This window comes from Homo sapiens, chromosome 2 (genome assembly GCF_000001405.40).
Source record: "Homo sapiens chromosome 2, GRCh38.p14 Primary Assembly".
In the NCBI taxonomy this organism is placed as follows: domain Eukaryota; kingdom Metazoa; phylum Chordata; class Mammalia; order Primates; family Hominidae; genus Homo; species Homo sapiens.
In genome coordinates, this window is record NC_000002.12 from 235,896,129 (window position 1) to 235,919,882 (window position 23,754).

Sequence of the window (23,754 nt, forward strand, 5' to 3'; positions counted from 1 at the left end):
CAACCAGCATTCCAGTTTCTGTCTCTATGAATTTGTCTGCTCTAGGAACCTCATATAAATGAAGTCATATGCTGTTTGTCTTTTTATGACTGGCTTGTTGCATTTAACATTATGTCCTCAAGATTCTTCCAGTTGTAGTGTGTGTCAGAATTTCCTTCCTGTTTGAGGCTGAGTAATATTCCGTCATATGTACACACCACATTTTGTTTGTCCATGGATGGACACTTGCTTTCACCTCTTGGCCACTGTGGACAATGCTGCTAGGAATGTGAGCATACAGATAACTCTTCAGAGCTTGGGTTTTAAATGTAAAAACTGTAACATGGGAAAGCTACAGAGTATGGCTGAATATTAAACCTGCCTAACCTTACCAGCACTCTGGTCATGGTACATTTGCTGGGCCCAGTCCTGACCACAGTGAACTGTGCAGGCTTCATAACATGCATGGTGGTCTGGAAGCCATGTGATAAGAAGAAGAAAACCACCCAGCAATGACATGGTCACATGGGCTCTCCTGGAGTTTGCTAAGCACCTGGGTGACCTGGGAAAGAACTTTGTCATTCATGTGACCTGTTTGAAAGAATGTGATCAGTTGTTTCTCCCATGTGTCAACAGTTCCAAAGCCAAGGAATTAGGCCGCCATAAAAGTAGAAATGTTTTCAGGGCATAGTGACAACTTTTGTTGGAAATGGAGCCTACTAAAAACTCACTGGTGTTACACCAACACAGAAAAGGACTCTGTATCAAAGTCTATTTCTGTCTATGTAATTCTTTCTTTGTTTTATATACCCTCAGGGTTTGGAAATGTTTGGGATTTAAAAATAAAAGGGCCGAAAGCTATCCTCACGACATTTCATTATTGATGTTGTTGACACACAGTGAATGGAAGCAGGGTGAGACTGGACAAAATAAAGTCCTCTTATTTCTTTTTTTGTTTGTTTTTTGTTTTATTTGGTTTTATTTGTTTTTTTGGAGACAAAGTCTTGCTCTGTTGCCCAGGCTGGAGTGCTGTGGCGTGATCTCAGCTCGCTGCAACCTCTGTCTCCAGGGTTCAAGCAATTCCACCATGCCCGGCTAATTTTTATATTGTTGGTAGGGACAGGGTTTTGCTATGTTGGCCAGGCTGGTCTCAAATTCCTGACCTCAACTGATCCGCCCACCTCGGCCTCCCAACCTGCTGGGATTACAGGCGTGAACCACCACGCCTGACCAAGTCCTCATGTTTCTAAAAATTATACCACTAAATAGTGTAGATCCTACCTAACCTATTTTCAACATTGAAAAATTCTGCCTTCTTGCATTTCTAGTTAAAATGAAAAAATAGAATATATGTGTGTTTCTATAAATAGCAGATTTAACAGTGTGGCTGGAGGGTTTGAGTCTCTAAGCTTCCAGTGGAATCCAAGGGACATCGTCCTACCAGTATGCCGCGTGATATGTCAGATCGTCTCTGGCCGTCCTTTGTACCCAATTGATAACATTTTGTTTTCCATTTTTGGCCTTTTCGTGTTACTCATTGAGGCCAAAAATTCTTACACAAGGTAAATAAATCAAATCCCTCTGGTTTCCTCAGCAACAGTAAGTCACAGCCGAGGACTCAGTAGGAGAGGATGACTGTGGGGGGTCATGAGGAATGTTCTTTTACTTCTACTAAGAAATTGAATTTCATTATTATATTTTATAAATATTTTCTTCTTTGGCTTATAACCTGATTGCGGGCTTGTTGCTGAGGTCTTGGAAGGTAGGTAGGGAGGGGCAGGGCTGGAGAGGCCTGTTTCTTCTCAGGTGTGCCTGTGGCCCCAGATGGAAACCAATCAAGGTGCGATTTATGTTCATTAAGTGCTTGTCAAAACTGAAAAATTTTCTAATCAACAGCAATCTAGCTGCAGCCCCCTCGATGGCTGGGAGGGCCACCTCTGCCGCATCGGCTATTTGCCTGTTACAACTCTAGGCTAAAAATCCGCTGATGATTACATTAGGCTAAGCTGCGAAGTAAATGAACCATGTCTTATTTAGGTGCCACTAGCTTCAGAGTAGTCCTGCCCCGCAGGGCACTTGATAGCATTTTATGGCTTTAAAATTAGTGTAGCTTCCCATTTGCTGCAGGGTGCTACATGTTCTGCCTTTGAACTCAATAAGCAAAGGGAACGGGGCCTTTTGTTTTTCCCCCTTCTTTTTTTCCCCTTGCATTTTAGCAATTTTGTTTTGCATCTTTTCCAGACGGCATTTTGCAATAAAAATGTCTGACTACCATATACATGCCTCCCCCATTTAAAAAAAAAAAAGGTGGGGGAAGAGAAGGAGGAAAAAGCAGAAAATGTCATGCGTTTGCAGAGGACAGGTTCCCCCCCCCACCCCCACCCCCGCCTGTGCTACAAAGTGAAAAATGGCTTTGCAGGTCAACCCTAATGACTTATCATGTCAGAATTGCTACCTCAAGTGGGAACAACACCTTTAGCCCAAGAAATTGCCACATAAAGTCAAAGGGAAAATAGTTCAGTATTTTTATTGGACAAGAGTGGTGAGAGCTAACATTTATGGAGGGCTTTGGCGCTCTGTTAAGCACTTGAGTATTATCTCAGTGAACCCTCGCAACAGTATCATGAAGCTAGAACTGTTTTTAAAGATGTGGACATGGGGACCCTGAGTGACTGAATGACAGGCCCCCAGTGTGCAACTCGGAGGAGAGTGGAGGCACTCTGATTTCGAGGCTTATTCCCTGACCAAGAGAAAGTCAACTTTTGTCTTCCAAAGACTTCTTTAGGAAATCAGAAAAGTGTGGTTATCAGTGAATTATCTGATTCATTTGAATGGAATCTAATACAAGGTGCTGTGAACTCCCTTGGCAGGCATTATGTTTAGGAAAACAAGAGTAGTTCCTGTAAAAGCAATGCATGGGAAAAATACGTATAGAAGACTTCTAAATAGGCCTAGGTGGAAAGTTTAAAAATTAGAAGTACTGACCCTTTGTCAAGGGGAAAAACTGAAGTGGGAGTTTGTCCGTGTTACCTTAGGTCTCATGGCAGAAGACATGATGTAGCAATCGATATTCACCTCAGAGGACAGATGTATATGCTCTGCTGTCTTAAAACTCTACTGTTTGGCCGGGCGCGGTGGCTCGCACCTGTAATTCCAGCACTTTGGGAGGCTGAGGCAGGCGGATCACTTGAGATCAGGCGTTCAAGGCCAGCCTGGCCAACATGGTGAAATGCCGTTTCTACTAAAAATACAAAAATTAGCCAGGCATGGTTGCAGGCGCCTGTAATCCCAGCTACTTGGGAGGCTGAGGCAGGAGAATTGCTTGAACCCAGGAGGCGGAGGTTGCAGTGAACCAAGATCATGCCACTGCACTCCAGCCTGGGCAACAAGAGCGAAACTGTGTCTTAAAAATATATATATACTGTTTGTTTTAGCGCTGCACATTTTAGCAAATTCGTCCAAAGAAATCTGAAGTTTTAAAGAGACCCAGACAGGCAGTATCACCATGGTGAACATTTCCTTATAAGTCAAAATTTCTAGGATCTAACTATTGATCCAGTTGTTTCAAGCCATATTCAAATATTAAAATACTAGGACAGCAAAGGAATTGTGTTGGCTCCTTGAAGTTCATTGTAATGAGAGGCCTACAGTGACTGTGTAGAGACAAGCAGCTGTTTTCATATCCGAGGCATGCATCGTACAGGCTAGGTTTGAGCAGGCATGGGTTACAACTGCGTAATACTCAATTTAACCTAGAATGAGAAAAATCTTTCAGGCAGTGTAAACCTCAATACAGTAGGTCAGTCAAGACAGATACAGTCAAGAAGCAAAAGGTGTATTCATAATTCGATTTAGAATTTTCTGCTTTTTGATTTGTAGTAGAATAACTTAACCCTTTGGACTGGTGGACTTGAGCCCACGCATGTTGGACACTGGCCTCCGCAGCACATGAAGCAGAGAAGTCTGCTTTTGCCATCATGTAGGGACTCTCCACTGTACATGAAGCTGCCACCACTGGTCCCCAACAAGGCCTCACCAGCCTTCTCGTTTACCACGTGTAGCATAATGACCCAGACCCAATAAAGCATTTACTAAGTCAAGAATATTCCACACATACTCTTCCTTACCTCCATGATGGAGTAGTAGACTGATTTCATCTTGATAGTCTGGGTCAGTCACTCCAGCCAACACTGTAACTTCCTTCTTAGCCTGTTGACTTTGAGGTAGGAGGAGCCCAAAGTGGCCAGGTGACAATCTTACAGTTTAATGGAATTGTTGTTGTGTCTCGGTGGCAGCATTTCTCCCTCTGGAACTAAGACCCCTAGGCCAGCAGAACGTAATGTTGTGGGAACAGGAAGCAAAAATTTTGCTAGTGGGTCACTAGGGGTGATGGTGAGTGGTGCCACTTCCATTTCTGCCCCTTGATTCCTGGACCTGTGAATCCTGGCAATGGGAAAAACAATACCATATATTGGACACTGATTCAGAGCATACACAGCCTTCTGGAGAACTTTGCCTCAGCCCTGCAAAGTATTGTCACCTAGTTGGCATTGTAATTGTGACTTCAAAAGGCCATTCCACCATTCTATTAATCCAGCTGCTTCAGGATGATGGGGAACATGGTAAGACCAGTGAATTCCATAAGCATGAGCTGTTTGCCTCTGTGCATGCTACACATCTGATTGGCCAGGTGCCTTCCTCCTGCCATGGCTGCTGGTCACTGTCATGCACTTACAAGCATGGGTCAGGTAGTCTTCAGGAACGCAGTTCTGAAAGTGAAACACTGGAATGCTTTTGGCTGTCTTGGGAAACAAAGTTATTTCTCATGGGATTTTTCCCTTTGAAGCTGCCTCCTACCTTGCTATTGTGACTATGATCCTTTGGGGAGAAGAGTAATTGTCTTCTTGAGTTCTGTGATCTGAAGGGATGTGGCCAGAAGATTTTTCATAGTTTTACAATATTTTCACAGTATTTTTAGGAGCATGACTTTGGTCTGCACCTGTGACTACGTACAAGGCCATTGTTTATTATTCATAAATGTGGGATGTGAACGTTTGCTTGATCTTTTTGAATGGGTGGTCCTATATATGTCTTTATGATTAGTTTCCTTTGAATATAATATTAAATGGAGTTTGGGAATAGTAGTGAACTTTACAATGGCTTCTCTTACATACTTTTTTTTTTTTGAGCCCAGAAGTGAGGCTTTTTAAAAATAGAACTTCACAAATTACTGCTTCCTTTTGATACTGGATATTCATGAAGTGCAGTGAAAATAGGGAATAATGAGTCATTCTTTTCCTCCAGGAGAAGGAGGAACAAACAAATGTGAAAACATTTACAATATCTTTCCACAGTCCAACCCTTTGCTCCTCCCCGGTTGTGTACATAAAAGCATACACATGGAGCCAATGGCTGCTTTGCAGACATGAAGCTAGACTAGTGGTTCTCAAGACTTTGGGCTCAGGACCCCTTTATCTTTTTAAAAATTATGGGCCAGGTGTGGTGGCTCACACCTGTAATCCCAGCACTTTGGGAGGCCAAGGCGGGTGGGTCACCTGAAGTCAGAAGTTGGAGACTAGTCTGGCCAACATGGTGAAACCCCATCTCTACTAAAACTACAGAAATTAGGTGAGCATAGGAACGTGCCTGTAATCCCAGCTACTCAGGAGGCTGAGGCAGTAGAATCACTTGAACCCAGGAGACAGAAATTGCAGTGAGCCGAGATCACACCACTGTACTCCAGCCTGGGCGACAGAGTGAGACTCCGTCTCGGAAAAAAAAAAAAAAATTATGGAGGGACCCCAAAGAGCTTTTGTTCATATGGATTTTGTCTATTGATATTCATCATGTTAGAAATTCAAACAAAGAAAATATGTAATCCATTTAAAATAACAATAAACCACCCATTACATGTTAGTATAAATAATATTTTTGTGAAAAGTATAATTTTCAAAATAAAAAATCATGAGAAGGGTTGCATTGTTTTATATTTTTTTAGGTCTCTTTGATACCCAGTTTGGTGTAAGACAGCTGGATTCTCGTATCTGCTTCAGTCTGTTGTGATAGGTTGTTTTGGTTAGTCTTTGAGTATCTCACGTTACACAGATGTGTGGTTGGAAGAGGGAGGAATATTTCAACCCTCATTTCAGATAATTGTGGATATTCCTCTTGCACACTTCACCAAAACTCAACATGTGATAGTTTCTTAAAGCTTAGTAATGCAATGTGAAATCACTATTTTTTTTCCTCCTCTACTACCTTAAAATCCATCCAACTGACTTGCCCTTTGAATGATCTTTTACGTGTGTTTTATCCATGCAGGCATATCCACATGCATCCATGCATGTGATGTCATACCCCGGTCATTTCAAGAAAAACTATTTTTGAAATGAAGTATGCAGATTTCTAAATAGTGATAGTTTTCATCATATAACATCAAAAATTTTCATTTGTATCACCGCCAATCTTGTCAGAAAAGTTGCTAAGTCTTTGGAAGGTGTCAAGCTCATAGTTAGAGATACAAGTTTGCCACATACATAGAACTGAAAACCAGAGTCAGTCAATGTCTGGCACAGTCATTCTTTCAGGTAAAAATCTTGTCCCACCAAAAAAGTGGCTGGTTCAGCTTGCAACTCCAACAGCTGCAGAAGTGCGTTTCTGCAAGACAACCATCACCCTCCGGTAGCCAGCAAAAATGCTTTATGCATGCTTTTTCCATGTCATACCTGAGAAAATGAAGACATGGACTCAAAGGTCGAAATGTTTAAAAATCGGTAGCACTTCTTTTTTTAAGTGTATTCAGAGCATCTGTGAGACTTTTTTGTTTGTACTTAAAGAGCATGCCAGTGAATAATGTGATGATGACTAGTACAGTTTGGGGCTACTACTTTGATTCATGTTAATCACCAGCATGTTTGCACCATCAAAACAAATTTCAACACAGCAATAAAAAGGCAAGTACTGTATCTGAATTGTTTTGAAAATCTTATTGATTTGTCTGAAAAGTGATCTATCTTTTCAGTATTATATATTAATATAAAATATTATATTTCTCAACATACATGTACAGTTATAAACTAGAACTTAATGGAGAAAACGAATTGGAACAGATTGCCACTATTTTCCATTATTTTTTTCCATCATTTAACTATGTAAATTTAAAGTCTTAATACTTTTTTGAAGTATACGTAAAAATGGAGTATGCTGATTACATTTTCTATCCTTGAAGAAAGTTGAGCTTAAGCACTGTCAGATTTTCAAAGCCATATGGTTATTTCTGATCTAATGTTGAGATGCCAATCATATAGTGTATGCATTTCAGTTTAGCTTTAAGATCTTGTTAACTGCTTTTAGTACCCCTGTGAACACATCAGCAAACCATCTTTTCACCAGACAGCCAAAGGTAACCTCCGGATGTGAGGCAGTGAGAATCAATATAGTAAGGGTATTTTTAGGGACTGTTGATGGATTGCTGTATTTTGAGCTTAACTTCAAGTGCCAAAGGCCCCAGAGCTGACTAAGATGAACTCACCATTTACTGAGGACGGGAGAGGCCATCAGGCACATAGTGGGATCTGGGATTGCCAAGACAAGATGTACACACCTTTCCCTTTGTAGTTTTGGGGAGAATTCTTGTATATTTTTTAGTAGCCTAATACGGTATTTTGATGAGGACTTTGTACCACCCTCCTTGCTGGAGCCAAGTGTTACTCATTTGGTAACCTCCCGGTCCTGGGAACACATAACTGTGAAATTCTAGGACAACGTGATACAGCAGCGAATCAATTAATTCTCTGTATCAGGAGGGATCTGGTACACCGAGATACTAATGACTCCGCGTCCTTCTCCAAAGGCAGCCCCACAGAAGGCGGGCGCCACGTTAAGCTGTGCTGCTGTCAGCAAGCTGAAAGCTATGGGTCTCTGACACGGCTCTCAATTGCTAGCAGGTTTCTCTCATTGCACCTCATTTGCATCTGGGACATCAATTAGCATGTTTGTTGAGGCTAATTGAATGAAACTCAATCATAGCTCTTAATTGCTTGACTATGTGAAAAGAAATCACATTAATGCAGCTAATTAAGTGTACGGCAATAGATGCAACATAATTAGGAGCGAAATGTAAAAAACAAGGGATGGCAAAGGTGCCGGAGCAGGGTTGCAGGGGGACAGCGAGGCACAGTTACCGAGCAATTGGCGGGTTCGGAAACAGGTCCCTTTGCTCTGGCGCCTGCTTGGAAAAAATAAGCCGCATGATGATCATGGACAACTTGAGAAGGAAAATGCAAATAGGTTTGCAATTACTACTTTTTCAAGCTGTTGAGGGGCAGGAGATGGCACCTCTGGGGGGCCTGGCTCTTGAGTGGGCCCCAGGGACTTGTTAAGTGCTGTTTAAAAGTACTTGGCTTTGAATTACCCTCACGCCTTGTTAAAGGGTTTTTCCTCTTTTATCTTCGATCAGCATTTTCAACAAGGAACATGGAGAAGGGTAGTATCTGTAACATTTGCATATCAAAATCAAGCTTCCTGTCTTAATTTTACCGAGGTCCCTAACTCAGACCCGTGAAGGGTCTGCACAGCCCCTTGACTTCTACGGAGGACATTGTTTAGTGGTTGTAGCTTTAATTCCTCAAGTACCAAGCTGGGGAGAGATGAAAAGGATCAGTTCTTTCAAAACCAGAAAGCTCAGTGTCGTTTCTCTTGGGAGGAACTTGAAGCCACAGATACATGTGTCTTTATCTCCCACCTGTGTGTGAAGCGCTGAGTCGGAGGGCTTTTATTGAGTAGGAAATGCATTTTGTAAAATTTTTAAAAATGTGCAGTGCCTTGAAATATAAGAATTGGCTATTTTAAATACCGATTTTATTTATTTTTTTTTTTTAGAGCTAGTTCTTCTGAGGTTGTAACGCCTAACTCAGGCAAGAAAACAGATCCCTTAGCCCATGCTGAGCTAAAGATAAATGGGTTCCCTTGCCGCTTTCGAATCTGGAGAGCAGACACTTGGTACATTTCTATAATAATTTTAAATAAAATATCGTGGTTATTGTATGTTAAAACATGCCTATTAAAAGAGCCCATGCTGAGGCTTAGTCACTATCTGATTAGCCTCATTTTAGAGCCCATAAGCAATAAATGCTCAATTACACTCCTGTTATTGTATTTTAATTTGTTAAGAATTGGCATTAAGGAAGAAAGTTATAGCAAGTTGATATTTTTAAAGGAGTAACTGTGCAAGAAGGAATTCATTATTTACAAGCATTAACTTTGGTTTGGAAAGTTGGGTTTGCATATTTTCAGTGGATATTAATGGAAGTAAACTAAAGATGCTTGAGAAAAACCTTTTTTAGGAAGTGACCAACACTCACCACTCTACGGTGTGCTTTTCCTTTCTTTTCTCTTTTCTTTTCTTTTTGAGACAGAGTTTCCCTCTTGTCGCTTAGGCTGGAGTGCAATGGCATGATCTCTGCTCCCTGCAATCTCTGTCTCCCAGGTTCAAGCGATTCTCCTGCCTTAGCCTCCCAAGTAGCTGGGATTACAAGCACACGCCACCACACCTGGCTAATTTTGTATTTTTAGTAGAGCAGGCATTTCACCGTGTTGGCTAGGCTGGTCTTGAACTCCTGACCTCAAGTGATCCACTCTCCTCGGCCTCCCAGAGTGCTGGGATTACAGGCGTGAGCCACCGCGCCCCGCCTGATGTGCTTTTCATTTGTCACCCTCAACACAGCGCAGTCCTGAGAATTCCTGTGCCGCTTCCAGCTCTAGCTTTCCTTCCATCTAGTTTAACAGAGTTAATTCAATAGTAACTTTCTTTCTGTCTTTGGTCTACATCCTCTCAAAGTTGATTATGTTTTGTGGAGTCCAGCATCTCAACTTCCAAGTGGAATCCCTTTCGGGGGCTGGTGAAGTCAGATTTGTTGTTCCCAGCCCAGATACCACCCTCCCGTTACCCGAACCCACCATGACAGCTTTCCTCCAAGGGGGCTGTGGCTGACTCCAGCCAGCCTGCCCTGAGAGTCAGGCCATCCTCCCTGAGCCACCCTGTAAAATGAAATGGCCAGTCACCAGCCTCGGGTGGCCGGGCACCTCTGCTCCCGGCCTCTGGGCTGATGTGAGATGCACGCGTGCCAGGGTTTTCTGCCTGGATAGCCTGTCTGTCCTTTGCCGGGGAATGCCCGGCCTTGCCCCTGCCTCTGAATTTGCCCCACTGTAGCACAGTTTCTGATCCTTTCTCCAGTGGTCTTCAGCCCATTGTTCTTCCTCCTGGTTCTGACCCTGGTGTTTTGAGCTTTCTGTCTGCACCAAGACTTCCGTCCTCAGGGGTCACCAGGGACCCTGAAACATCTTGTCCCTCTGGGGCTGATGTAGGGGAGCCTGCTGGGGTTCTGTATTTATCTGCCAGAGTGTCCCCCGCCAGTGTGGCTGTGCCCTCATGTAAAGAGGTTCTCCTCCCGCCCGTCCTGCCGTTGAGAATTCCTGCACCCTTTTCCCTTGAGTCTGGTTTGACTCCATGTGGCAGCCTGTAAGTCATGTTGGTTGCGGGAAGGTCTACATTGTCACACCCCAGGCTCACCCACCTGACCATGGTTGGGCAGGGAGAAAACAGCTCTTCTCATCCTCTGCCCTGAGGACCCACAGTTTCATTCCTTTCCCCTGAACTGGAATTGTGTACTTTGTGGCTTTTGTTGTGCCTTTTCTTCTATCAGCAAACATCTACTTGTTGATAAACCCGTGACTCCTTCACAAGTGTGGGTGTTGCCCTGCAATTAAAAGGTGGACTGCTTGCCTGTCATCCCAGCTACTCGGGAGACTGAGGCAGGAGAATCTCTTGAATCCGGAAGGCAGAGGTTACAGTGAGCTGAGTTCATGCCACTCCACTCCAGCCTGGGCAACAGAGTGAGACTCTTGTCTCAAAAAACAAAACAAAACAAAAAGGTAGACAGCCCGTTTCCTGGAAGCCACTGGGATCTCGCTTTGGCCTCTCTGCTACCCTACCCTGTGTCCCAGCAGCTTCCTCAATACACTTGGCCAAGTTTCCTTGTCCCTGAGACAGAGGCTTCCGACCCTTGCATAGTGATTCTAGAACTTGATCCAACTATCTCTCTGCATCGGGTAACTGCCATTGGGCAGTTAAAAGACAGCAGCCCACTTCTCCACCCTGCCTCGGTCCCTTGCATCCAGCATGTGAGTTTATTTGGCAGTTCTTCTAAAATTACGTTGGCTGAGCACGGTGGCTTGTGCCTGTAACCCCAGTGCTTTGGGAGGCTGAGGTGGGAGGGTGACTTGAGACTAGGAGTTGGATACCAGCCTGGGCAACCTAGCAAGACCTCATCTCTAAAAAAATTAATAAATGAAATGGAATTATGGTCACCTGAACTTAATTACTTTTAACAAAGACAAATTTATTGGTTTTCACATCTAAAGGGAATTCACCAAGATGCTGCCAAAGAAAGAGCATATTTATTCCCACTTCCTGCATAGTCTTAAAACACTTGAAATGTTGTTTTTCCAAGAGTAATTTTCAAATACAGTCATTTCTCTGTATTCATGGGGGATTGGCTCCAGGACCCTCCAGAATACCAAGATCCTCAGATGCTCAAGTTCCTTATATAATACAGCATAGTATTTATATATAACCTGCACACATTCTCCCGTATACCTTAAATCATCCCTAGATTACTTATACCTCATGCAATGTAAATGCAATATTTTCTTATTTGTATTTTTTTTAATTGTTATATTGTTACAGAGGGCTGAGTGTATATTCTTTCTTAACGTGTGATATCAAGTAATATGTGTCCAGAATGCTTAAGATACTGTGTTTGCAGACAGGGAGTCTCATTACCAGAAATAATAATAATAACAATAATAATAATGAGTGATGATGATGCTGCACTAAAGGATCAGTAACTCACTGGCCAGCAGGCCCATCCCCCGGCTCTCAGTTGCTTGTTCACCTTCCCCGTTCCCTGCCCATCAGCCAGTTTCCAGGTAGTGTTTGACTCCACAGTGAGTTAAGTGAGCTGCCAGAGAGCAGTCACTGTCCACCGAGGCTTCCCTGTAGTTCTCTGATTGCTGCTGGTCATTTGCTTCCAAGGCCTAGAAAGCCAGATACCCCTTGGACATCTTCCTGGTTCTTAGCACAACAGTTGACCTTTTTACTTCCAGTTTTCACCTGATTTTTCACCAGAGAGCTTCAGTCTTATCTAGATTTTAATGATATTCCCATCTGAGACAGAAAGGTTATTACAAAATGGTTTCCTACTCCATGGAATTTTACTTGGAATTTATAGGAGGAGCCTAATGTACCCTCTGATAAGCAAGAGTTCAAAAAATCAGATTTTGTGTGTAGACTTACTTCCTAATGACCCTTGAAGGAGGCACCTGCTGTGTCTCTCCTTACATCTCTAGGTCCTGGATTAGTTCAGGACACAGAAGCAAAACTCTGATTTAAATATAATAATGATGTTACCAGTACTCTATAGATAAAAATCTCATGATTTTTAAAGTACTTTCCACAGTGGAAGGGTCATAGGGTTTTAACTCATGACGTCTGATAGACCCTTTTGTTCTAGGTTGTAAAAGGTCTTTTTTTTTTTTTTATCTCTCTTGGATGTTTAACATTTTCAACAGGATTACATGCAGAATGTTCATGGTAAGGAGATTGACCTTCTGAGAACCACTGTGAAAGTCCCAGGGAAGAGGCCACCCCGAGCCACGTCAGCCTGCGCACCCATCTCCAGCCCTAAAACCAATGGCCTATCCAAGGACATGAGCAGTTTACACATCTCACCCAATTCAGGTAAGCTTACAGCAAATGCACTAACAAATCAAGTTCAACAGCAACAGGTGGTCCAGGCTCGAGGATAATGTTGGACTCCTAGGTTAAGTGGAGACAGTAACTATCACATTACAGATTAAGGTTTAGAAACCTGATCACTTCTGTGGCTGATCATTTCCTTTAAACTTTCAGTTCCGCAAATGCCAGCGAGCAAATGGTGCTTTGAGTCACAGCTGCAAAAACCATGCATCTAGGCCTTTCCAGGGCTGCATAGTGGAAAGTGAAGTTAACATGTGAACTGGGTTTTTAAGATCCTTCTGAAAAACGTGAATTAACGTTAAAGTGTCAAAGATTAACTCATTTCTGATAACTGTATGTATGAAAGTGGAAAAACCATTCGGAGCAAGATTCAGAGGAAACCATTTGACCTATATAAAATGTAAATTCTGTGTTGTTATATTTTAATTATCTGCCATTCTTTAATGCAACTTTAGTTCTCTGTATTCTCTTTTAAAGGAGATTTTTTTTCATTCAGGATCAGAGAAAGCTGTATTTTCTCAAATGTTGATGTGTTTAGAAATTCCTGGCCTCTGTGCCCAGTTGCAAGCCATCCAAAATGACATTGTTCATTTTATTTACGTTTTTGCAAATAATTGCCCTGTGTCATGAACCTTCCCATGTCTGCTCATCAGAGATAAGGAGAAGATCCTCTTGAGCCCTCCCATAAACACACACACAGAGTCAGGCTCCTTCAACATGGGGACATCCCTTCAAGAATTTGCATTTTCTCCTGCAGAAAGTCCAGAACTTTCTTCTCTCCCACCTACATCCAGTCTTCTTAAAACAGATTTCTGGCTAGGCGCAGTGGCTCACACCTATAATCCCAGCACTTTGGGAGGCTGAGGCGGGTGGATCGCCTGAGGTCAGGAGTTCGAGACCAGCCTGGCCAACCTGGTGAAACCCCGTCTCTACTAAAAATACAAAAATTAGCCGGGCGTGGTAGCAGGTGCCTGTAATCTCAGCTACTTGGGAGGCTGAGGCAGGAGAATCGCTTGAACCCAGGAGGCAGAGGTTGCAGTGAGCCATGATTGCGCCACTGCACTCCAGCCTGGGTGACAGCGAGACTCTATCTCAAAAAAAAAAACAGATTTCTCTCCTATGAGAGTTTCTGGTCTTTGATGCTGCACTTTCCTCTTCTGAAACATCAAGTGCTTTTAAAGAGGGATGGTGCTGACTGCCTGGTTCTGAGGCATGAACGACACTGGTAGGTGAGAGCAAGATGGTACAGAGGAGTTCAAATTTGGGTCCACCATCCTGGGCTCCGCTGCATAGTGTTAGGCAGTCACTGAGCTGGTTCCTTCCCACCACATTGGGGTGCTCTTGCCTGGCCTGCCTGTGTTGCAGGGGGGCGGTGTCAGAGGAGACAACATGAAAGTGCTGGGAAAGCTGGATACAAACACAAGCTGTTGTTTCTAATCAAAGTTAAAACTGGCTTTATGCTAAAGGAGTCTTTAGTGCCTCCCAAAAAAGTGAGAACAGTATTTTTCCAGGGGCTTCTATGACCTGCTGACCTTTCTTCCAAGACATCCGTGAGATTTTTCTTATTAGAGCGGTGTGCTAACTATGGGGTGGGAAGAGAGAAAAGAAGGGCACAAGAAAGAAAAAACAATCCGTAGTGAGTAAAATGCTGAAGGCTTTATTACATTAGTACGTTACATAAACTCATGCATTTATTCAAAAAATATCTATAGGCCAGGTGCAGTGGCTCACGCCTGTAACCCCAGCACTTTGGGAGGCCAAAATGGGTGAATCACCTGAGGTCAGAAGTTCAAGACCAGCCTGTCCAACATGGTGAAACCCCATCTCTACTAAAAATACAAAATTAGCTGGGTGTGGAGATGTGCGCCTGTAATTCCAGCTACTCAGGAGGCTAAGGCAGGGGAATCGCTTAAACCCAGGAGGTGGAGTGCAGTGAGCCGAGATCGCACCACTGCACTCCAGCCTGCGCGACAGAGTGAGACTCCGTCTCAAAAAAAAAAAAATCTATCAAGCACCTATTTTGTGCCAGAAGTTGTGCGCACTGCAGATACGGAGTCCCTAACCTCTAGAATTCTTCCATTTCCACCTCCCTTCTGACCATCACATCTAGTCATCTAGTTACATAAGTAAAAGCATTTATTGAGTTTCATTTTTATAATTTTAAATTGATAAAAATGTATTAAATAGAATTAATTTAACTTAAATAAAAATTTATTGATCTTTGTAACATGGTGTTTTGAATTATGTATACATTGTGGAATGGCTAAATCATGCCATTTGTGGAGTTTCTAACGTGTGCCTGAGTCACAGTTCCCGCCTTCAGGAATCTCCCCTGTTGTTGGGGAGAAAGACAAGTAGATGGAGGCCACACGGAGCCACAGGCCCCAGGAGGGCTGTGTAAAGGGCAGGGCTTGGAGACCCAGTGATGCTGCGGTCGGCTCCCCAGGAGGTAGGCCAGGCTTCAAGGGATGGGGGCTACCTGCTGAGTTTGAATAAAGGATAGGAATTTGCCAGGCACACAGATATGAAGGAAGGGCACCAATTCTGTGAAGAAGCGTTCACTATGTAAAAGTAGGATTTTGAACTTCCTAATCTTGAGATTTATGTTCCTTGGAGCCAAATGCCACTGTTGTCCTAAGGGAAACACTAATGTGTGATTTTAAGTAGATAATACAAAGGCCCTATAAACCGTACCATATCTGATGGAGTCGGCTGTGGCATGGGCCTTTCTCTTTGAGGGAGTGAGTTGTGTGTCCTTGGAAGGCATTTCCCATTGCCCAGTTTCATTCTCTTTAAGAGCCCCTGTTGGGCAAATGGGAGGGTTGCGACAAGATTGAAATCCCTTTTCCATGGTCACAGCCCTCAGTGTGTAACAGGACATCTCCGCAACCCTCAAACAGGTTAATCCCACACAGGGGCCTGGCTGACTTTCCCTCTTCTCTGGATTCCAACTAGGGATAGAGAAGTGGAGGTATGACCTTAGCACAGAGGCGTTGCCACTTTGGGAAGAAGAAAGTGCCTCACGGCCACAGCAGTGCTAAGGGAAGTGGCACCCTGACCAAGCATGCGGGTGAAGTCATCAGCTGGTGTGCGGCAGGAGGGCGCAGATCTCAGATAGCAGCTCCCTGTTTATTGCTCAGCTTCATTCTTGGGTTCTGAGAATAAGCCATGGGCGGAGGCACTTCTGTAAGAGGAAGCAGCTTCATTAAAATCTTGGGAAATTTTAATTTGCATTCACCTTCTCTAAACATGAACATGAATCTGTAAAGTGATACGTTCTTTCTTGCTTAAGAAATTAAAGCATTTGGGGATTTGAGTTTTTATACTCTTTGAAAATTGAGTTTCTTGTGCTAAAATCATCATTCACAAAATGTCCTCTCACCTGAGGAATTCCAACACAGCAAATTCAATCTGAAATAAATTGAGGCTACATTTAAGAGACGGGACTTCCAGCTAAAAATAGGTATTAGAGAGCTGTTTTTGCCAAAAAATTGAATACTTAACCTTATTCTTCACTCTTGACTCATTTGTTTTGTCTCAGTTCTGGGTGAACTGGAGGGTTTTCTTTCTTTGTATTTTCATTTTTGTATTCATTTTCTTAATGCGATTGAATTAGATCAACATTTTATGCCTTCTCTTCCCGTAACTTGCATTCACATAGACCTGATATATGTATGAGCCTAAATCTTTGTGGTTAACACTTATTATTGCTTTGGAATAACTGTCCATATATGGAATGATTCATTCGGTTGGTATAACCATTTACAGGGTTCTTGATACACATTTCCAAATTAACTTCTAAAAGGTTTTACATGAAAACTCTTCCCATCCATAGCCATCACCAGTTTCACCTCACACACTTGCTAATGCTATTAATATTATTGTTAGAATTTATGCTAATCTGATGAGCGATAAAAATGCCTCATGTTTTGTTTATTTGGATTTCTTTAATCGGTAATGAAGTTGAACAGCTCACATGTATTAGGTGTATGTGTTTCTTACGTTGTAATTAATTGTTTAGGTGTATCCTTTGCCCATTTTTGCACTAGGTTCTTTTTCTTATTGATATCTGAGAACTCCTTGTATATTTAGGATATGAATATATTTTGCAGGTATTTCCCCAGTTTATTATTTGCCTTTTAAATTTTATGGTCTTCTTTACATAAAAAGGTTTTCCCTCTTTTTTATTTATAATCAGATTATCTTTTACTGTTGTGATTTCTACTTTAAGCTATTTAGAAAACCTTTCATAATCTTGAAACCAGATCACAGTTTACATATATATACTTCTAAGTTTTAATTTTATTGTTTTTTTCCCTTAAAAAATATATGTATGTGTTTATGTGTGTGAATATATGTATATGCATATATATCTGTGTGTATGTGTGTGTATACATGTATATGCATGTATTTAGCCCCTAATCCACCTTTAATTTGTTTGTGTCTATTGTGTGTGATAGAAATCTAATTGAATTTTTTATTCAAATAAATAATCAACTGTCGTTTTTCTCTTTGTTGAATTTTTTTTCTTTCCCTATTAATTCCATATGTTGCCTTTGTTGTAGAACTCAATCACTTCATCAAATGGGCTGTGTTTCTGGCCTCTCAGATGTGTTCCGAGACCTGGTGTCCCTGCATTGTCTTACCTTATGTAGATTTACCACAGTGTCTTAGATGTATGACTCCGTTTGTATCTGGTAGTATAACACAGTTGAATATTTCTCTTTTATCTTCCAGTTTTTCTTGGCTACTGCTGCCTGCTTATTTTTCCTCAAATGAACTAAAGAGTAACTTGAAACCTTCTCCTCCTTGATAAAAATAATCCCCTCATTGGTGCACATGACATCAGGACCTCCCGAGGCTGTGATACGGGCACGTAAATAAAATAATAAAAATAATTCTATCATGGCTTTTAACTGGCATTGCTTTTAAGCTATGAATTGTGGAGGAAGTGGCATCTTTACTGTGTGGAGTTCCTTATCGTGGAACACTGTTCTTTCCCAGTTTATTCAAATTTGTATTATAGCCTCCAGCAAAGTTCAGCATTTTTTTTTTTTATTTAGCTGCTGGACATGTCTTGTTAATCTATTCTGTTTATAATTTTTGGTGCATTGTGAAGCTAATCCTTTTTAGAGAGGCGGGGTCTATTATGTCATCTAATTGGTCAGAAATAAAACTCCTAATTTTTGTGTTTTCTATTATTCAGCCATCTTGCTGAACTCTTGTTAGTTGGAATAGCTACTGGATGTTTCTGTTGATTCTCTAGCACACAGTCATAATGCATTCCATATTTCAAATACTATAATGCCTAACTGTGTGCCACCAGTTTACTGATACAGAGACTGGATTGTGTTGCCTCCTGTGCCATTCGTCTCCATTGTTACTGAGTCTGCTGTATGCCCACCCTTGATTAATGCTCTGGATATTGGGGTGGGGGGAGGACAAGACGTCTCTCCAGGAGCCTTACACTCAAGTGGGGGTGGAGGAGTCCAAAGATAAACACACAAGTAAGATCATTGTAAGGAATGATAAGTGCTGAAGGGCCATATGGGGCAATTGAATAGAAAATACCTGGAGGGGCTCGGGGGTGGGGTATTCCTAGCATTTGGGAAGTGATTTGCCTGTATTGAAATAGTGACTACATTTCACACTTTAAAATGCTGGAAATGTGGTCATCTTCATGTCAGTTTTTGCCATGGGCTTGGGAGAGAGGAAGAAACACGCACTGTCAGAGCAGCTGCCTTGTGCACTGCTGATGACTGGGCTCAGGCCACCCTCTGGGGCTCATGCATTGAGGAGAGCAGAGGAGCTGCAATGGTGATGGGGTGGCTCTGGGTTCCTTGTGGCGGTCGTGGAGTTCAGGAGTGGGCTGGGGCACAGCAGCAGGCTGTGCGACGAAAGCAAGGAGAGCTGGCCAGTGTTGTCCCTGCCACCAACACCCCCAGGAGAGCATGCATCGGAACAGGCAGCATGCCTAGGGAGAGCAGAACCTTTTGATGTGGATGCTGGTGCTCAAAAAAGGGAAACAGAGATGATTGTGAAACTCAAACATCCTCAGTCTCAGAAGAAGAGAAAGAAATGGAGAGGCAAGGCAGCCCTGACCGTAGGTGGTATGAAGTGCACCGGCCAGCTCACAGCCCCCCACACGGTAGGTCTAAATGAAACCCGCCAGTCATTATGGGCCATACACCTGCTCAGAGCCCACAACCAGCCTTCTGGTTGGCCAAGGCTGCAGAGAAAACCCCTTCATCTGCCTCATCAACCCACATGCTCTTATTCATAGATAATGGACAACGAAGGTGTTTGTGGGAACCAACAGTAAAATGTGAAGGATAACTGATCTTAGTAAGAGTGACATTTTAGTGAAAGGGAATTTAAAAGGAAATTATAACTCCTATCAACAGAAGGATTTAATACGTTAGTTATTAATGATACTCATAAAATGAGGCAAACAGAGAGCACGTGTTTGGCCCAGCGCAGTGGCTCATGCCTGTAATCCCAGCACTTTGAGAGGCTGAGGCAGGCAGATCCCCTGAGCCCAAGAGTTCAAGACCGATTAATCTAGGCAACATGGTGAAACCCTGTCTTTACAAAAAATGCAAAAATTTAGCTGGGCATAGTGGCGAGTGCCTGTGGTCCCAGGGGAGACTGAGGTGGGAGAATAGCTTGAGCCCAAGAGGTCAAGGCTGCAGTGAGCCATGATCATGCCACTGTACTCCAGCCTGGGCAACAGAGTGAGGCCTGTGTCAAAAAAATAAAGAGTATGTGAAAATACTATAGGAGAAAAAGTTTTATGAATAAAGATTGTGAAAATAAAAAATTCATTAGATAAATACTGTAAAGAACGTGGCTAAAGACATGTTGGTAGTCAAAGATGTAACAGAAGAATATATGCTAGAAGCAAGTAAGGATATCTGAAGAGTCAAGTATCAAGTTGGATGGGAGAGGAGGCTCTGCAAAAATACAAATAAAATCTTAAAACACACCAAAAATAGGAGAACAACAAGGTTACCTACAAAAGAAGAGAAATCTGACTGTAGACTTCTCAAGAGCAACATGCATTCTTAAATATAATGGAAATATTCCCTCCTAAGGACAAATAATTCTGAACCTAGAAGCCTATGCAAAGACGACTACTAATCAAATGAAGATAGAAAAAAAAGACATCTTTAGACAACCTACAGGGTTATACAACATCTCTGTCTTAAAGGGTTTTGAAAAAATTACTGAAGGGTCTACTCCAGAAAAAAAAAGAAGAATCCAAAAGATATTCAGGCCTGGTTAAACCTTCCCTTCCTCATTCAAGGTCACTGGCTTCTCAAGATGTGCATGGCCATTATCCACTTCCATTCTTTTGGCCTGGAACTTACATAGTCTTAAGTTGCCATTCTAATGAGGATCCACCAGAAGCCACATTTTGGAGAATCTTCCCAACTTGAATTTCAGGTATAGGTCCAGAGAAGGAGGTAAAACGTCAAGGTATTTTCTGACATGAATGTTTGGCCAGCCTAGTTTGGTGAAGCTGTATCCACATGTAACAATGCAGAGTTGTATTAGCTTCCACAGTTATTTTCACATTTAAGTAGAGAGCAGGAAAACATAATGTCCAAGAGCAAGGGTTTCGGAGTCCAAATCACTGAATAGAATCCCATTTCTCCTGTCTCAGACCCTTCTGAAGTTGTCTCACTAAACCCCAGCTTCCTTGTTTTTAAAATGGGGAAATGATGTCCACCTCTGTTCTATGGAGAAGAACACACGGCATTCCTTTGAAAAGCTTGGCCGATGCTGACTTCACAGAATTACATCATTAATTCATCATCATGGTTATGCCAAAAGCAAGGAAGAGGGGAAAGAAATTATGTTCTTGAATTAATTTTTCAAATACAATAAAGCATTGACATAGCCTTTGAGTGGACATAATGGACATAGGGCTTAGACTTCACAAACCCATGCTCCCCAACAGACAGCATCCCACTATCATGGCAGCAAGGGGGCAGACAGAAGAAATGCTCTTCTGGACTTTCATGGATGTCCATGGAGCTGTCTGCTCCAGTTCTGTGTCCTGTGGTCACTTTATTCTGTAACTCCTGGTTGTGACATTTTTGTTCTAGGATGACAGATACCTTCTTGTCTCTAAAGTGTGTCTTTGTTGGGTTTTTGCAACTATGGATATGTTTTTATCCTAACCAGATTGATGCTTAGACCTTTGTCAAAGGAATCCTTTCCCCTTCTCCTCTACATCCCCCCCTTCCCTACTTGAGGCCCCCAGCGGTTTCGAAATATTAAAGCCTTCAGGAGGGTTGAAGCTGATTTTCCAGGGGAGGTGGGGGAGGCGGGGACAGCAAATGTGTTTTGAGTATTGAACTGCCGTTGACATCTAAAGTCTCAACCATGCTGTTTTCTCCACACTTCAGCAATCAGGACATCCAGCAAACCCATAAAAAACCAAACTAATAGCATGAATATTCAGTGACCTAGAATACTAATTATTGTCATGAATATTAATGTGATCGGACTTGCTCTTTCCTCTCCTCTTTCTCTCTCGTCCTCTTTCTCCCTCTCTCCCTCTCTTTTTTTCCACTTAGCCGGCTCTAAAGATGGGTCATAATGAGAGCATTTAAGAGGGAGCGCTCTCCGCCGTGACAGGGACCGGGGTAATAAGGAGAGCTTGATTAACGTGGTGCACTTGGGGGAGAGATGAGAGGCTTCACGTGGTCCTGTTCGGGGGAGGCAATGAGGCACCGGCGGCTCTGTTGCTGCTCCCGGAGATTAATGAGGCCTAAGAGTGCATTAGGAACAGTGACAAAGGTTTGATCTAATGGGCTCAGTCATTTTTCCTTTGAGTGACAGACGCACAGAAGTAATTGGCTGTGCAGAATGGCAGCTCATTGGCGGTACTTAAGGATACATTATCCCCGTTGTGTGGCCCGCAGAGGCTGTTTATCAAAACTGCTCACACTGCAGACGCGGAGTCGCGAAGCTGCTGTTTCAGTGGTAATAGCTATTAAAAAAAAATAACGTGACATCAAAACTAGACCCGTTGTTGTCTCATGGAAAGAAAGTTTTTCTTTGTTTAGTTTCAAACGGTCTAGAAAACATTATAATAACTCTGGAGTCCGGAGTCTGTTGTGGGCCCTGGATGAGCAGTGTCAGTCCACACCTGTCCCCTGCCGGCATGCGGTGTGGCCAAGGCTTGGTGGAACACAGATCCTTGCTTCCCACTCATGTCGACCAAGGTCACTCGGGAGTTTTCCACACATTGGATCTTGGTTACAACATATAAATTGGAAGCTTCTGCTAAGTACCCTTCTAGCACCTTGGTAGACCATTTGCAAATGGAAGCCTTACTGGTCGAGAATTATTTTTCTGAAATAAAACCTCAATATCAGTAGCATGTGATATCTGCTTTCATAAACCAGGTTTTGTTGGAATTGGTTTTAATGTCTATTTGACAATTTTTAGGGAAAATGTTAATGTTTTGTGAGGCTTCTCAGACATCAGAAAGTTAGCTAAATCTGACATTAGAGGACACTAAAGTTCATCTTAGTTCTTTTTAAGAATTGCAGCATCTTCAGCTTTTATGAGCAATGCGTTCTCACTATTAGTTGTTTCCGTGTTTATACATTGCTCCCACTGAGGTTTAGGCAAATTCGTGTGGTATTGTTTCCATCATTAAATTGTAAACTCTTTGAGGCATACACTGTTACTTCTCTTTCTTTGTTATCCTCTCTTAGTTTTGTGACCTAGCAATTATTTTCTCATTAGGTATATATTCCTGCATGTTACCCATCATGTTAAATGTAAGTGATGGATGTTGAGGAGATTAGTTGCTTTCCTGCAGATAATGTTCCCCTGTAGTAGCTCTCTGTGGTCCTGAGCATTGGTGTGTAATTCAGAAGTAAGTATTGTACTTCCTAAATTAAGGATAGCTTCAATTATTTGAACTCTAAGTGGAGTGTTCTTTTCTGAAAGAACCAACTAAAGCAACTTGATTCCTGATGATTTCAGCTGAGACATATCAGGGGATGGCCAGGACCTTGAGTTGGATGTGGTAACAGGTGTGCCTACAAGTAAATAAAAGGTGCTTCAAACACTTTTTTTCTCTCAAAAATGTGTGTGGGCAGGGAGGAATAGTGTTTCAGCTGCTGAACTGATGCTTCCGAGACCAGCGAAGTGGTCTGCAGGGTCAGCTGTGGGAAAGAGGAGGTGCCCGGAAGAGCCTCTGTGAATTACCCGCGCCCCCTCCACCAGGGAGCCAGCTGCCAGCCCCGGGGGCCAGTGAGAACCGAGGCCTTGGGAAAGGGCTTCTGGTTCTTCCAGGCTAGAGTTGAGTCCGTGGCTTCCCTGCTTCCTGCAGTCCTTTCCCACACTGGCAGAGGAGAGTTTTTCGAAGTAATCGTGACATTTTTCCATCTCGAAACCTTGTGGCCCATTGTTTTGAGTTACCACTCATATAGTGAACGTTTGCGTTTCTGGAGTATTTCTAGGGAGTGGTCAAACCCCGTAACATCCCAACCAGCAAACCTGTAAAACCCGCCTCATGTTATCAGACTTGTGAGCCCGGGGTACTCCTTGGTGCTTTGTCTTCCCTGTGTCATTGCTGGATTCAGTTGTGAGATCATTTTGTAAGAACTGGAAAGCAGAGAAAGAAGTAGTAGTGAATACTTCTCAGGATAGAGCTGTGGGGCCACCTGCTCCTGGAAGGGGACTGTAAAATTCAGAGATGACCGGGGAACGCTCCCCTCAAAACAGTGTTGTCAAATGAAAATGAATTTCATGTTAAAAACACACACACACACACCTGTTGCATTTATCATATAAAGGAGAAAGAATATTGTAAAGATGGAACCGTTATTCATGGCAAAGGAAGACACCAAACAAAGAAAAATTCTTTTCTTCTCCGTCTTCACAATGCTTACACCCCTCATCCTCGCTGTTGCATCAGCTTGTCCATATAA

The 23,754-nt window shown here is 42.6% G+C and overlaps 1 protein-coding gene across 4 annotated transcripts in view, besides 4 other annotated features; it reads left to right on the plus strand.

Moving 5' to 3' along the window:
* The window catches only part of AGAP1 (ArfGAP with GTPase domain, ankyrin repeat and PH domain 1), a 637,751-nt gene that overhangs the window by 402,086 nt on the left and 211,911 nt on the right, over nucleotides 1–23,754 (plus strand). For all 4 annotated transcript variants that reach the window (NM_001037131.3, NM_014914.5, NM_001436125.1 and 1 more), the window contains exon 11: nucleotides 12,610–12,778. In NM_001037131.3, coding sequence (NP_001032208.1) covers nucleotides 12,610–12,778 — 169 coding nt within the window. The remainder of the gene's footprint in view (nucleotides 1–12,609; nucleotides 12,779–23,754) is intronic.
* Nucleotides 7,760–8,295: an enhancer, noted in NCBI's record as "NANOG hESC enhancer chr2:236812532-236813067 (GRCh37/hg19 assembly coordinates)". NCBI's record gives its function as "activates a minimal SCP1, AML or CMV promoter by ChIP-STARR-seq in primed H9 embryonic stem cells {active_cell/tissue: H9 hESC(primed)}" and the evidence as "EXISTENCE:reporter gene assay evidence [ECO:0000049][PMID:30033119]".
* Nucleotides 8,296–8,830: an enhancer, noted in NCBI's record as "NANOG hESC enhancer chr2:236813068-236813602 (GRCh37/hg19 assembly coordinates)". NCBI's record gives its function as "activates a minimal SCP1, AML or CMV promoter by ChIP-STARR-seq in primed H9 embryonic stem cells {active_cell/tissue: H9 hESC(primed)}" and the evidence as "EXISTENCE:reporter gene assay evidence [ECO:0000049][PMID:30033119]".
* Nucleotides 9,524–10,024: an enhancer, noted in NCBI's record as "H3K4me1 hESC enhancer chr2:236814296-236814796 (GRCh37/hg19 assembly coordinates)". NCBI's record gives its function as "activates a minimal SCP1, AML or CMV promoter by ChIP-STARR-seq in primed H9 embryonic stem cells {active_cell/tissue: H9 hESC(primed)}" and the evidence as "EXISTENCE:reporter gene assay evidence [ECO:0000049][PMID:30033119]".
* Nucleotides 10,025–10,525: an enhancer, noted in NCBI's record as "H3K4me1 hESC enhancer chr2:236814797-236815297 (GRCh37/hg19 assembly coordinates)". NCBI's record gives its function as "activates a minimal SCP1, AML or CMV promoter by ChIP-STARR-seq in primed H9 embryonic stem cells {active_cell/tissue: H9 hESC(primed)}" and the evidence as "EXISTENCE:reporter gene assay evidence [ECO:0000049][PMID:30033119]".